Source organism: Homo sapiens, chromosome 8 (genome assembly GCF_000001405.40).
Source record: "Homo sapiens chromosome 8, GRCh38.p14 Primary Assembly".
NCBI classification, from domain to species: Eukaryota; Metazoa; Chordata; class Mammalia; order Primates; family Hominidae; genus Homo; species Homo sapiens.
Window position 1 is genome coordinate 108,863,717 of NC_000008.11, and position 13,783 is coordinate 108,877,499.

The 13,783-nt window shown below is 36.9% G+C and overlaps 1 long non-coding RNA gene across 1 annotated transcript in view; it reads right to left on the reverse strand.

The window, feature by feature from the left end:
- Positions 1-6,297: 6,297 nt before the first annotated feature.
- LOC101927413 (uncharacterized) overlaps positions 6,298-13,783 on the reverse strand; it is a 78,895-nt gene continuing 71,409 nt past the window's right edge. The window contains exons 5-6 of the long non-coding RNA NR_188035.1: positions 10,828-10,895; positions 6,298-8,014 (exon numbers count right to left, since the gene is read on the reverse strand). This is a non-coding gene — a long non-coding RNA (uncharacterized LOC101927413). The remainder of the gene's footprint in view (positions 8,015-10,827; positions 10,896-13,783) is intronic.

Genomic DNA, 13,783 nt, shown 5'->3' on the forward strand with positions numbered 1-13,783 from the left:
GAAGCAAAGTTTGGTGTATTTTAGGTTTTACTTTAGAGCCAGTATTTGAAAAAAAAAAAAAAGTTCTATACTATTTGCCAAATATAAGAAACTGATGAGATGATAAAATTGCAAATAATGATTGAAATGTTAGAATCAAATGCCCAGTAGCTAGTTTAAATGACAATGACAGTTGTTTTTTAAACATTTCCACTTACAATTTTAGGATTGAAGAGGCCTTGAAGGTTGTTTTAACCTAGACTGCACTTTTAGTGTGGCCCTGAGGTCATTATCCTGACACATTTGATGCTCAATTTTTATGAAGCATAATAATGAATACCAGCATATTAAAGGTGAAATAAAACCAGACTGCTTGAAAGCAGATGTATTCTCCTGGGGATACTTCAAGAGAATTGGAATGTGGGTTGGGGTACCCTATATCAAATAAGTATTTGCTAGAAAACACATTAGCCAGGAGATATAATGTAAGTGCCAGGGTACTCCACTGCAGGGGTCCCCAACTCTCAAGGCTGGACCAGTACCAGTCAATAGCCTGTTAGGAATCAGGCCACACATCAGGAGGTGAGTGGCGGGCAGCAAGCATTAGTGCCTGAGCTCCACCTCCTGTCAGATGAGCAGCAGCATTAGATTCTCATAGGAGCACAAACCCTAGTGTAAACTGTGCATGTGAGGGATCTAGGCTGTGCACTCCTTATGAGAATCTAACTAATGCCTGATGATCTGAGGTGGAATAGTTTCATCCCAAAACCATCCCCCTACCCCAGCTCCGTGGAAAAATTGTCTTCCACAATTCCTGGTGCCAAAAAGGTTGGGGGCTGCTTCTCCAGCACATCAGTCAATGTTTGATTGGAAAGCCAGAATCACCATAAGTATCAATGGAATAAGAAAATTAACAGAGGGATGAAGGCTTACACAAATGTAGAAGTCACTAGGGAAGTGGATGTTTGGCAGGCTGCAGCTGGAGGATTGGGAAACAGTCCCTGATGACTTTAGCCTGAAGCACTGGAGTGGGCAGAGAAGCTGGAGCTCACCCAGGAGTCTGAGCAGCTGCTGCTCCCTGTCACCATGATCCAAAACCAGGAACCCACAGAGTTGTCCATGGAAAGCTTCTCCACCACACCTTCTGGGAATAGGGTTGCCTCTTCACTTTGGCCCTCTAGTCGCAGTTCCTCTCTTTAGCAGCCTCTAAGCCAGAACCATAGAGGGAATGGGATTTTGGGAAATGTAGTTCTCAGTCTTGGAAGGGCATAGTGCTGCTGGTGCTGAGTTGGTAAGAAACAACCCAGCTCACCTGGTTACGGTATATGCTCAGATGTGCTGACTCTCTCTGGAGAGCAGTAAGAGTGTCACAGAATGTTTGGAAAGATGGATGTCCCATAGTATTTCTTTTAGGATTCTTCCTGTGAGAACTCAGTGGATAAAAGTAGAAGCAAAATAACTTGGTCAAATAACAAAATCAAGACAAAAGAGAAATCAAGAATGTATGGAGTAACATTTGTGTGGCAGGCATTAAGTTATTTATGGATATTATTTCATTTACTTTCACAACATAGATTCTCTTTCTTTCACTTTATGGACAATGCAACTTTATTTTAAAGGTGAAATAAAGATCTCCTGAATCATTAAACCAGTAGATGATAAAGTCAATGGAAACTAAGTTTGGGTTTAAACACACAGCTACTGCTACCACTTCATATCACATCCCATCAAGGGGCTAGAAAGATTGATATTGCTTTTAGTAAGACACAAGTATTTTCGCTACTAATTCAAGTCTATATTGGCATTTATTTAACTTTTAATGTGTATTTCGTGGCCTACCTGCATCAGAATGACTGTCAGAATCAGCCTATTTTTTTTTTTGAGATGGGGTCTCACTCTGTTGCCAGGCTGGAGTGCAGTGGTGCCATCTTGGCTCACTGCAAACTCCACCTCCCAGGTTCAAGCGATTCTCCTGCTTCAGCCTCCTGTTCCTGGGACTACAGGCACACACCACCACATCCAGCTAATTTTTGTATTTTAAGTAGAGACGGTGTTTCACCATGTTGGCCAGGATGGTCTCAATCTCTTGACCTCGTGATCTGCCCACCTCGGCCTTCCAAAGTGCTGTAATTACAGGTGTGAGCCACTGAGCTGGCTGAATATCAGCATTTTAAACTAGCTCTCTGGGTGATTAATGTTTAGCTTTCAGTTTAAGGATTGCTGATTTAGACATTTTCTCAATCATCAGGGTGAACGTAGAATTTTGGTTAGGGGAAGGAGCCAATTTTACTGCAACGAATATATAAGGATATACTAAAATACAGAATTATATAAATTTTCTGCAAAATACAGAATTAGAGGTAGTTCAAATTTTTGCCTTCTTTGTCAATATCAATTGCTTTACGATTGCCTCCTCGAATTAAATAACATGTTGTGATTATTTCCAAATAAACAGGAATCTCAAATAAAAAAGTATTAATGTTTCCTTTTTTCTAGGAAAAAGCAGTAGTCATAAAAGGCTATAATATTTTCAAATGTATATTAAAGTTGTCTGTGGTTCTTTTTGTCCCCAGCTAATTGTTATCCCTTTTGAAAGCAGCTGCATTGTTAAAGTCAATTAACAATGCACTTGAATCCATTTTGGCTTCCTACACAATGACCTAGTACACTCAGCACTCCGGTGACCCTGGCAGACACAACAGTACTTTGAAGTACTTGCAGTCGTTACTCAGAAACTTTTAATACCACCTGTGCCACTGGTCCTAGTTTCCAAGTAGAATATAATAACCTTAATTGGAGAGACATCTCTTTTTGACTGAGACCTTTGCTAGATTGAAGCTGATGTTTGAAATGAATTCAGCTACATAAGGAAAATTATATTTAAGAGAAAAAACATGAAATTTCAAGTGCGTCACCTAGAGGATTTAAGCAGGTAACAGATTTCTCATTATTCTGTTCTCTGTAGAGCTAAATGTTTGTGCTTCTGATTTTCTCGTCTGATAGCCAATATATTAAAACAACAACAGTTCTTAGGCCCAGAATGCCTTCACAAACTGAAAGCACAAAATATTTAGATTTGATAGCCTAAAGAGCATATCAGTTAATTTAAGATAATTATTATAATTGAGAAACATAATGGACATGACTTTTTTCAAGGCTTCTTCAAAAATTATAAATTAAAGGAAGTTATTATAGATATGTCAAATTGGAAAAATGTGGTCTATCAGACAGTTAACTTTCTTCTTCCCAGAAATTCCACCCCTGACTCCGCCACTCTCAGTTGCTTGATTTCTGACTGCAAGATGGGTTTCTACCACCTGGAAATCATGAACAACCAGAACTTTGTTCCAGAACTGCCTTCCCAGTAAAGCCTTCTTATTGGTGATTTTCTGTGTGCTCATTGACACCATGTTCCCTCAATTCCTATAGGATAGGTCTTTTTAATAATTTAATATGGATTTCAGATTATAGATCTGTGGCCTTTTTATCTTCTGGTTTTCTGGGACCCTTCTCATCTGACTTTTAATATCTTTGATTTTTCTTGATGCTCCTATTCATGCCCCAGACACCTGACACTTTGTTCTTCCCTGGAGGTCCTGGTGGTTTCTCTAACCCACTCAATCATCTTTCATTGCAGTGAGAAATATTAGGAAACCAGTCTTTCCCCAGACCTCAATTTTTCTCACGTGTAATGTAGGAGTTTTCATACCTTTCTCCTAACTTAGCTTTGAGAATTAAATGAAATGACACATGAAAGGCACCCAGTGTCTATATCTGTACAGCACCTGTCGCTTGGCAGGTCCTCAAGAACTGAAGCTAATTCTTCCCCATTTTGTTATTCTCATAATGCTTTGATGCACAAAAAAATTTTGTAATTTTTCTGTTTCATGCAATAGTTCATCTACTGTTTCTAAATAAATGCAGCATCCAATAAATTTTTTAAATCTCCGGGGTAAGAATTATATGCTCTAGTTCATTTGAAAGCCCCATTGCCTAGCACCAGGCTGGGCGTGATAGTATGTGTACAATAAATAATTACTGAAATGAATTAAAGTGAATGGGGAGCTGGAAGGGTTTGGATGGCAGTTGCCAGGCTGCCTGTTACACGTTATTCCTGACAGAATGTATCCCATGAATTAATGATTCAGAACACCAGGTGGCCAGCCACAAGCTTCCTAAAAAGGGAAACAAGCAGGAGGAGAGGAGGATTTAGCACGAAAGCCTAAGTTTTACCACAGTGAATTCAAAAACTTTCTTTATCACTTCAAAACTAGGCAGCTGGTGTCACAGCTTCATTCCAACTGTTTGTGATGGTGGCTGTGATGTTCTGGGGCACAAGGCAGGATGTTCCTGAGCCCCATCTCACTCCCACCCTGATTCCAGGTTCTACTGATCTCAATGATTCATTTGCACTTACGTTAACGTTAATAGGTACAATACTTGTAAAACTACATCTCTAGTGTTTTTTAAAGTCAAAGTTAATGAAAAACTGTGAATGATTTTTAAACTCCCTGGGCTTCAAACTTCGCAGGAACACACTAAGTTTGAAGGAAATTGTTACTGGTACCAGGACTCTCCTTTATTTTATAACTGTAGCCTTTGGAGTTCTGAGAGTCCAAGGGGTGGAGAGAACTTTGAAAATTTTTATTGAACTCATGCCTGCCCTGACAGTGAGAATTAAGCCTTGGATCTCTCAATTCAAATACAAAGAATACTTTTTTTTTCTTTTAACTAATGCCTATTTAAGCATTCACAAGTGCACATACACATACATACATAAAACACTTTCCTCATTAAAATATTGAATAATATTCTTGCATATAAGTATCCCTTTTCATAGCCACAGCAAACCATGGCCCAAGAAGATGAGCTTAAAGGGCCTAAAAATGCAACCTCCATCCAGAATTTGACTTTGGAGGTCTTACTTTAGCTTTTGGAGAGGTCTGGGTATCTTATGGTGTATAGCATCTGTCTATAAACATGAACATTTTCAGACAGACGGCACACTACAGCTGAGCTTCTGTCTTCTTTTATTTCTAGCAGAAGTAGACCACACAAATATACAGATTACAGAAATCTACACAATAACTTGACAAATGGAGAAGAAAAATGCTCTAAGACAAGAGATTATCACTAGCTGGTCTTATTAATTAAGAAATTATAGGATGGAGTACAATGGAGAAAAATTCACTGACTTATATTTGAACTCAGACACCTCAAACCTAAGTGAAGGAACAAACAGAGCTCCCTAATTCTAATTAAATCACTTTATTCAGTGGGAATTACTTCTGCAGCTATGTCAGAACTCCTGCAAATTGCTTCATATAACTCTATTCTGTACTGATACTGTAGTGGTGTATCTTGAGGAATGTTCTTATTGAATGTAAGGGAGTAAGGGACTTTGATCCAACACCCTGGTACTTGTATTTCCTAAGCAGTACTGTTACTGCCAGTATGTTTGAAATATTGATATGTAATTTTCAAAAATGAAGACACCAGATAGCAGCATCATACAATCAGTACAAATTTTGGACAAAGACCAACTGTTGGTAAGGATGCAATTGGAACTCTCCAACATTGACAGTAGGAATACAAAATGATACCGCCACATAGGAAATAGTTTGGTATTTTTTTACAGTGAAATATACACTTACCACACAAGAAGAAACTATAATCCCATGTATTTACTCAGGATAAATAAAAACATTCTGTATGTTGATACAAAGGCTTATAGTTCAGTGACCATAGCGACATTATTCATAATAGTAAAAAAGAAAACTGGAAGCAACTCAAATGCCCATTAACTGAAGGATCAATTTAAAAATCGTGGTATATCCATTCAGTGAAATACTACCGATCAATATAAAGACAAACTGCTGATATGTGCAAGTTAGATAAATCTAAAGAGCATTAAGCAAGGGAATAAAGCTAAACACATATGACTGTATTCTGTATGATTTCATTTCTATGAAATTCTAGAAAAGGCACAGGTTTGTAGTGACAGAAGCAGATTACTGACTTCTAGCAGGCAGGACAAAGGAAAGAGATTGACTTTAAGGAGGCACAAGAAAACCTTTCAAGATGATGAATATGTTTTACAGTCATGACTGTAAGTGGTGTGTATATATATATTTTTGTATATAGATATTTGTGAAATATAGTATATATATTTACTATATACACAGTATGTATCTACTATATATACAGTATATATTACTACATATAATATGTATTTACTATATATACATATAATATATACTTTATATATACTGTATATATTTGTGAAAACAATCAAATTTGACACTTGAAATGGGCACATTTTGTTTTTTTGTAAATTATACCTCAATAAAGCTGATTTAAAAAAATATGAAGTAGTTATTTGTAAGAAAATGCATGGATTTCAAAAGTTTGATTACTGTAAGTCTCTAAGAAATACTTCATCTTATTAGGTGATGAGGGAGGATTTCCTCAAATTCTATGTCTCAATTCAGTTTGTTCCAAGTTGCATGGAACTACTGGTGGACAATATATGGGGATAAATATTTATATAATCCTGAGGAGGTGTAAAATAAACATAGAGATAAAGAAAAAGCATACCAAATCCATGTTATTAATACTTTTCAGCTTCTGAGAAAAATTGAAATAATTATTGTGATTTTTTTGTTGTTACTTAAGATATTTGAAATGTTTGAGAATACATCACATTAGAGAATCTGTGAACTATCAAATAAAATTTGATTGTTATTAGACTTGTGATTTATTTTAAAATGAATAAAATAATTAATGTTATTAGATTTTTAAATTTTGATTCAGATTTTAATTTTTAAAAATACAAACTAATTCTAAAATATAACCTAGGTCTTTGGGTACAAAGTCTTCTAAATTTATGGACTAAAAATATTCTCATAATTTGGCAATAGGCACTAATAAGAGTATCAATATCAGTCTGCAAGAGTAGGGTTCAAGATATATATATGTGTGTATATATATGCACATATATGCGTATATATATGCATATATATGCATATATATATGCGTATATATGTGTATATGTATGCGTATATATGCGTATATATACGCATATATATATGTGTGTATATATATATGCGTATATATATATATATATTCAACTTATTTCTATACCAAGTTCTAATTGTAATGAAGTGGTGAAATTCCCCTCCATCTCTTCTCCTTCCCCTTTGCCAAGAATCATTTGTCTCCCTAAGGCTTCAGGCTTTTAACAAAAAAAGCTAGCATTCCTTTTTTTTCTTTGTTTTCAGATACAAACACATTATTTCTTTGGGTGCCATAGCCAAGTAGCTTGAATGAAGTGTGAAGCAGGCAAGGAAGGAAGGCAAATAAGTGGATTTTAAGTAGAAGGATAAATCTATACATCGAAAATATTATCCTGCTACAGTATGAAACCATAAAATTTTGTATGTTCATTTATTTAGCCATTCCACTTCTAGAAAACACTTTTCAAGAATTACTCACTAGTGAGAACCATGTCTTAGCTGAAGACTGTCCATTACAGATTACACTCAATGACAAAAGCTGTTAGCAATCTAAATATCCAATGAAAGACAATTAGTTAAATAACTATGAGACAATTGCCCAATGGAACATTATTCAATCATGAAAATAATGTAAAAGAATATTAAAGAACATGGAAAGCTTCAAGATATACATTTAAGTTGGAAAAATCAAGTTATGTATGATTCTCTACTGCAAAAAACATATAAATATTGAGCAAAGCTCTGAAATATAGCTATTTCTGGCGATGTATCTCCAGTTTAGATCTCCTTCCTAAACCCCAGATCTGTTTTCAGTTTCCTGATAGACATTTCTGCTATGAAATCTCACAGCACCTCAAAATCAACATGTCCAAAACTGAGCATATCTTATATCCCTCCAAACCTGTTCCTTTTGTAGAGTTCTCTCTCTCAGTTAATGGTATTCAAACCAGACATCTGGGCGTCCTTGAATCTTCAATCTGCCGCCCACATTCATGTTCAGCAAATTTATTCAGCACCTGCTGTATGCCAGAAACTAGTCAGACCCTGGGTATTCCATATGGAAAAAAATAAACATGGTACCTGAATTCATGAAGCTTATTGTCTAGCAAGGAAAGCAGACACTAATTATATCATTGCAAATAAATAAAATAGTCACGTTTTGATTCTTTTATGAAGGAATAAAATCAGTACTCTGAGAGAGTGAGGACGGAGACATTTTAAATAGGGTGGTCAGGAAAGTCCTCTCTGAGAAGATGACATGAAGCTGAGAGCTGAAGTTTCCAGCCATGTGAAAGGCAGCGTGGCATGGAGGAGAGAATTATTGATAAAAGAAAGAGAAACAAGAAGCCTCCAGAAGGAATTGTAGAATTAAATTTATTTTACCTTCTAAAAATTTATTGAATATGTCTTTTTCTCTCTATCATTGCAGGCTTGACTCTTTTCTAGATCAAAATTATCTCTTGCCTCAATTATTCAAACATCCATAAAATGGCATTTCTGCTTCTGGATTTGTCTCCATCCCATCCACCCATCACATTGTAGCCAAACTGATTCTTTTGAGGCAAATTGGATCATGTCACCCCAGTGCTTAACACCCTATAAAAGCACACCATCACTCCTGGAACTAAGCCCCAACTCTCCTCTGTGGTTTATAAGGCTCTGCAAGATCTCACACCAGAATACTCACTCAAACTGTTTCCATTAACTGCCCTCCATTCTATACTTCAGACATACTGAACTTCTTTTATTTCTTCACACAGACTATTCTCTTACACCTTAGAGCCTTGCCAAAGCTGTACCCTCTACCTGAAGCACTTCCCCACTTCACTGTTTTATCTGATTAAATCTTTTACGTCCTTCAGGCCTCAGCTAAGATATTATTTCATTGAGATAGGCTTCCTTGAGTACCCAAGTTTGATGCCCTGGTTTTACAGCACACTCTCTTCCCTTCTCTTCCATTATCCTGTATTATAATCGCCCATTTACAGTCTGGTTCTTCAGACTGTAAATTTCACAATTTAGGGCCTTTTCTTTACTTTTTCCTGCTTTATCTTGCAAACCTAGCCAAGGTCTTGAAATACAGTAAGTGCAAAGGGATTACCTTTGCACTCTGGCAAAGGTGGGTCGATCGCTTAAGTCCTGGATTTCAAGACCAGCCTGGGCAAAATGGCAAGACCCTGTCTCTAAAACAATACAAAAAAATCATTTGGGTGTGGTGGCATGCACCTATAGTTCTAACTACTCTGGAGGCCATGATGGGAGAATCACTTGTGCCCCGGAGGTTGAGGCTGCAGTGAGCCGTGATTACACCACTGCAGTCCAGCCTGGGTGACCAACACTCTGTCTCAAAATAGAAGAGTATGGATGGCTTTGTTTCTTTTCAAAATTCTTCGTATTCTAAATATTTTAAAGATTATTTAAGTAGTACTATTCTACTGAAGAAAGAACACAGGCTTCAGATGGCTCATCAAGTACTGATATGGACATAAGTAAGACTTCCCTGATTATCCCAGGATATTAGGCTGAGCTGAATCTAGGAACAGTCTCAAAATTCAAGGTCCTGAGAGTGAGCAGGATCTGGTACAGTGGTGCAACATCACCTGTTTCAGAGCTGAAATAAATAAGGCTGAAATGGGAGAGCCCAAGGGAGAAGAAGCCTGTAGGGAGAGACCTAATGCAAAGCCAGGGCAGCCCATCCAATAGGTCCTCCTTCCGCAGGGACTGGGAAATAGACTGTACCCTATAGCCAGGCAACTGGACAAATTTTCAGATATCCATAGAAAGGAATGAGACATGAAGGGGTAAGTGGGAGAACAAACCTGGAAAACATTCCTGAAGCAGGAAAAAGATCACATCAATTCCGTTTTTGTGGGGAATTTACATCCTCAGCATCGGTGGAGAGGAAACATTTAATGCTACTGACAGCAGAATAATTTTATGGTTCAAAGACCATGGGAATGGGTGTCATGAGACCAGTATTTAGGCTACTAGCTTTTTGTGTGATCCCCAAGAGAGAAACCTACCTCTGTGCCTTGCTTTCCTCCTTTGTAAAATTAATGGATTACACTAGCTGATCTCTTAGGTTTTTTTTTTTTTTTTCAATTAAAACATTCTGTGTTCTGTCATTCTGGGCTGAATGCCCAAGGCATTCAACAAAATACATTTGTTTTAAAGAGATAGAGGAGGGAAGTAATTCACCTGTACTTATTTATGAAGCACAAAGTGAATTTTCTGACTTTCAGATAACACCTTGACACATGCTTGATAGTTGCTGAGTAAACTTGCTTTATATGTGATGAAACATACTAAATTTAAATTGACTCTAGTTTAACCTAAAAGCCATGGGAATCTGACACATTTCCACCCATAGAAAATATTAGAAGGATTTCATTTACTGCTAATGCTTGGTGCTAGAAACACTTGAAAGTCAAACACAAGTCATTTATTTTATGACTCATTTCTAACAACTTGAGAAAAAATACATTTAGTAACTCTGCGTCAGTGCTATGAAAAGAGGCAAAATAATGCTTCTCTAAAACTTAGAGAAAGCCACCTCTAAAGGAATATTTTGGGCATATTCTGCACTGGCTCTTTACTCCCAAAGGCTACTTGTCCCTGAAACAATCCCATTATGAGGTATCTCCCTCTGGTTGCAGGCAGAGGAAAGAAATTAGGTTTTTTGTTCCAAGTTAAGACCATCTTGCTGCAAGCCTTGTTCTGATCTTAGAGACCTAGAGACACCTGCTCCAACACCTGTGTAGTAGTCTGTTCTCACATTGCTTTAAAGAACTCCCCAAGACTGGGTAAAAGAAAAGAGGTTTAATTGACTCACAGTTTCACGTGGCTGGAGAGGACTTGGAAACTTATGATCATGGCAGAAGGCACCTGTTCACAGGGCAGCTGAAGAGAGAATGAGAGCCGAGTGAAGGGGAAAGCACCTTATAAAACCATTAGATCTCATGAGAACTCACTATCATGAGAACAACATGGGGGAAACTGCCCCCATGATTCAATTATCTCCATCTGGGTCTGCCCTTGACAGGTGGGGAGTATTGCAATTCAAGGTGAGATTTGGGTGGGAACACAGAGCCAAACCATATCAATCTGGCATTCTAAAATATGCTCCAGTCTTGGTTTACAATATTCAAGGCTGGAATTTCCCTGACTCATATCCCTTCCCTAGATATGTTTTCCTGATTGGAATTTTCAGGATCCTTAGGGTCGCAAGGAAAAATTACACACAAATTACCTTTAGTAGGTTTATGTTAGGAATTCTCCCCATAGGGTAGCATGTACAGGAATGTTACATTGCACTCAGACCATGCAAGACTGAGATGTACAACAGCCATAATGAGTACCAGAACAATGGCTAAGCATTGTTTGGAAAGACAACTGCTCTTTCTTCTCCTCATCCTACTTTATCTATTAACTTTACCCTAATGAGAAGAAACAATGTGATTGGCCAAGTTGTTACCATTTAACTGGAGTCTCAGGGACACCTGACCTATCTTACCTTCAGACATTATAAACATTCTTTCAGATCATGTACCAAAACCTGGTGAAAATAGCTAGGGACCGAGTAGCAAGATTGATTTCATCTGACCCAGAAGACACTATCATATCATGTGAATCAGAAGAGAATTTAGGACCTCTTATAGAGAATAGGGCAATATAAATGAGCAGGTACTTTGAAGCTTTATAAACTTTCTCAGTGATAAGATTGCAGATAAATAGGAAGTACAGTTACTAAACAAAAAGGTACCATGAAACCACTAATGATCTCTGCATGTCCATCCACCTGATATAAGAGCCACTTCTCCCCTCCTCAGGGGATTTGAAAATCTTGTATGCTGACTCCATTCTTATATATTTAGAGACTCTCTGAAATATTAGGTCAATTATATCTGTTCTGCAAAGAGATTTCACTAAGGAGAAGAAATTGTGAAATTATGCCCATATGTTTTAGGGTGTGATTTAGTCTACAGAAAATTATAAAAAATTGACATAATCCCATTAAAATCTAAACTATAAGCAAAAAATATACATTTCACTTTTTGCCACTGAAGTATGGAAGCCTTTTAACCAGAAGCATATCCAAGGCTTTCTAAATTCACTCTCTGAAAAATGAAATACCAGCTCCACAAAGTTGAGCCAGGCCTCCTGCTCAAACCAGCCATTACAATGATAAATCCATTATGTGGGTTGAGGTTGAAGTGTTGGAGAAATCGTGAGAGCTTTTTAAGTAATCTGTATATAATCTTCTATTTATATTCTTTGTGATTCTTGATTACTTTTTGGTCTCGTATTAAGTTTCCTATTTACACTTTTTTTTTTGCTTTTTTTTGGTCTTATTTTCTACTTTCTTTTGGATTTGCCAAGTTTTGATTTTTTCTTCTCTTTGCCTTAAATTCATTTGGGATATTATCCATGTTATTTCTACTATTTTGTGATAATCCTTACATTTCTAACATACAGACTTCACTTAAATATTGTCTTAGTCCATTTTGTGTTGCTATAATAAAATTTCTGAGAATGAGTAATTTATAAAGAACAGAAATTTATTTCTCACAGTTCTGGAGGCTGGGAAGTCCGAGATTAAGGTGCCAGCAGGTTTTGTCTGGTAAGGGCCTTTTGCTACAGTTTTCTCAATATGGCAGAAGGAAGAAGGACAAGCTAGCCAAAGACTGCTGCCTAAAGCCTCTTTTAAAATGGCCTTAATCCCATTAATGGAGGAGGAGCTCTCATGGCCTAATCACCTCTTAAAGGCCTCACCTCTTAATACTATCACATTGACAACACCTGAATTTTGAAGGGGAGTAATTCAAATCATAACCACTGTCAATATATCTTAATTTTGTCTATAGTTCTGCATTCATCCTTTATAAAAAAGGATCTTAAATTCCACAAATATGACCACCCTTCTCTGTCTTAAAAATATTACTATTGTCTTTAGTTGTACTTTACTTTGTTTTTAAATCCCTGTTAAAGCAAACTAAACATGGCCAGAGAAGGACTCTGTACTTCTATATTTGAGTCCTTGTGGATGAACTGTAACCTAGCTTAATAGTCAAACAAAACCGAAAACCTAACTTTGTAGTAAGTAGCACCTGTAACAATAGCTGAGTGTTGGCCAGTCTCAGCGGCTATACTTCAACCACTTATAGACTGCTGAATGTTCAAACTGCGTTCAAATAAGGCAAATACCGAGCTGTAACCAATCTCACTGTTTCTGTACCTCACTTCCAATTCCTGTATGTCACTTTACCTTTTTTGTCTATAAATTTGTTCTGACCGTGAGGCACCGTTGGGGTCTCTGTGAATCTGCTGTGATTCTGGTGGCTGCCTGTTCATTGCTCAAGTAAACTCCTTTAAATTTAATTCAGCTGAAGTTTTTCTTTTATCATCCATAATACTATGTTTACATTGTTCAGATCTGTTAATATCTTTCTCAGTTTCTTTACTTATCATTGCTTCTTACATTCAGCCCCTTTCTTCTAGCTTAATTCCTTCTTGCTGAAATATACATTCTTTAGTTCTTTCAGTAAGTATATGCAAGTATAAAAACTCTCATAGTATGTTAGAAATGACCTTTAGTTTACATTCACTTTTGAATCATAGTTCCCATAGAATTCAACATTGATCAGTATTTTGATTCAGTAGTTTAAAAATATTCTATTTTCTTCACACATCTACTTTGCTGACAAGAAGTCTGTTGTGAGGTCTTATTATCATTCTTTAAAGACTGTTTTCCTCTAGTTCCTTTGATTATACTGTTTTTGTGTACACTA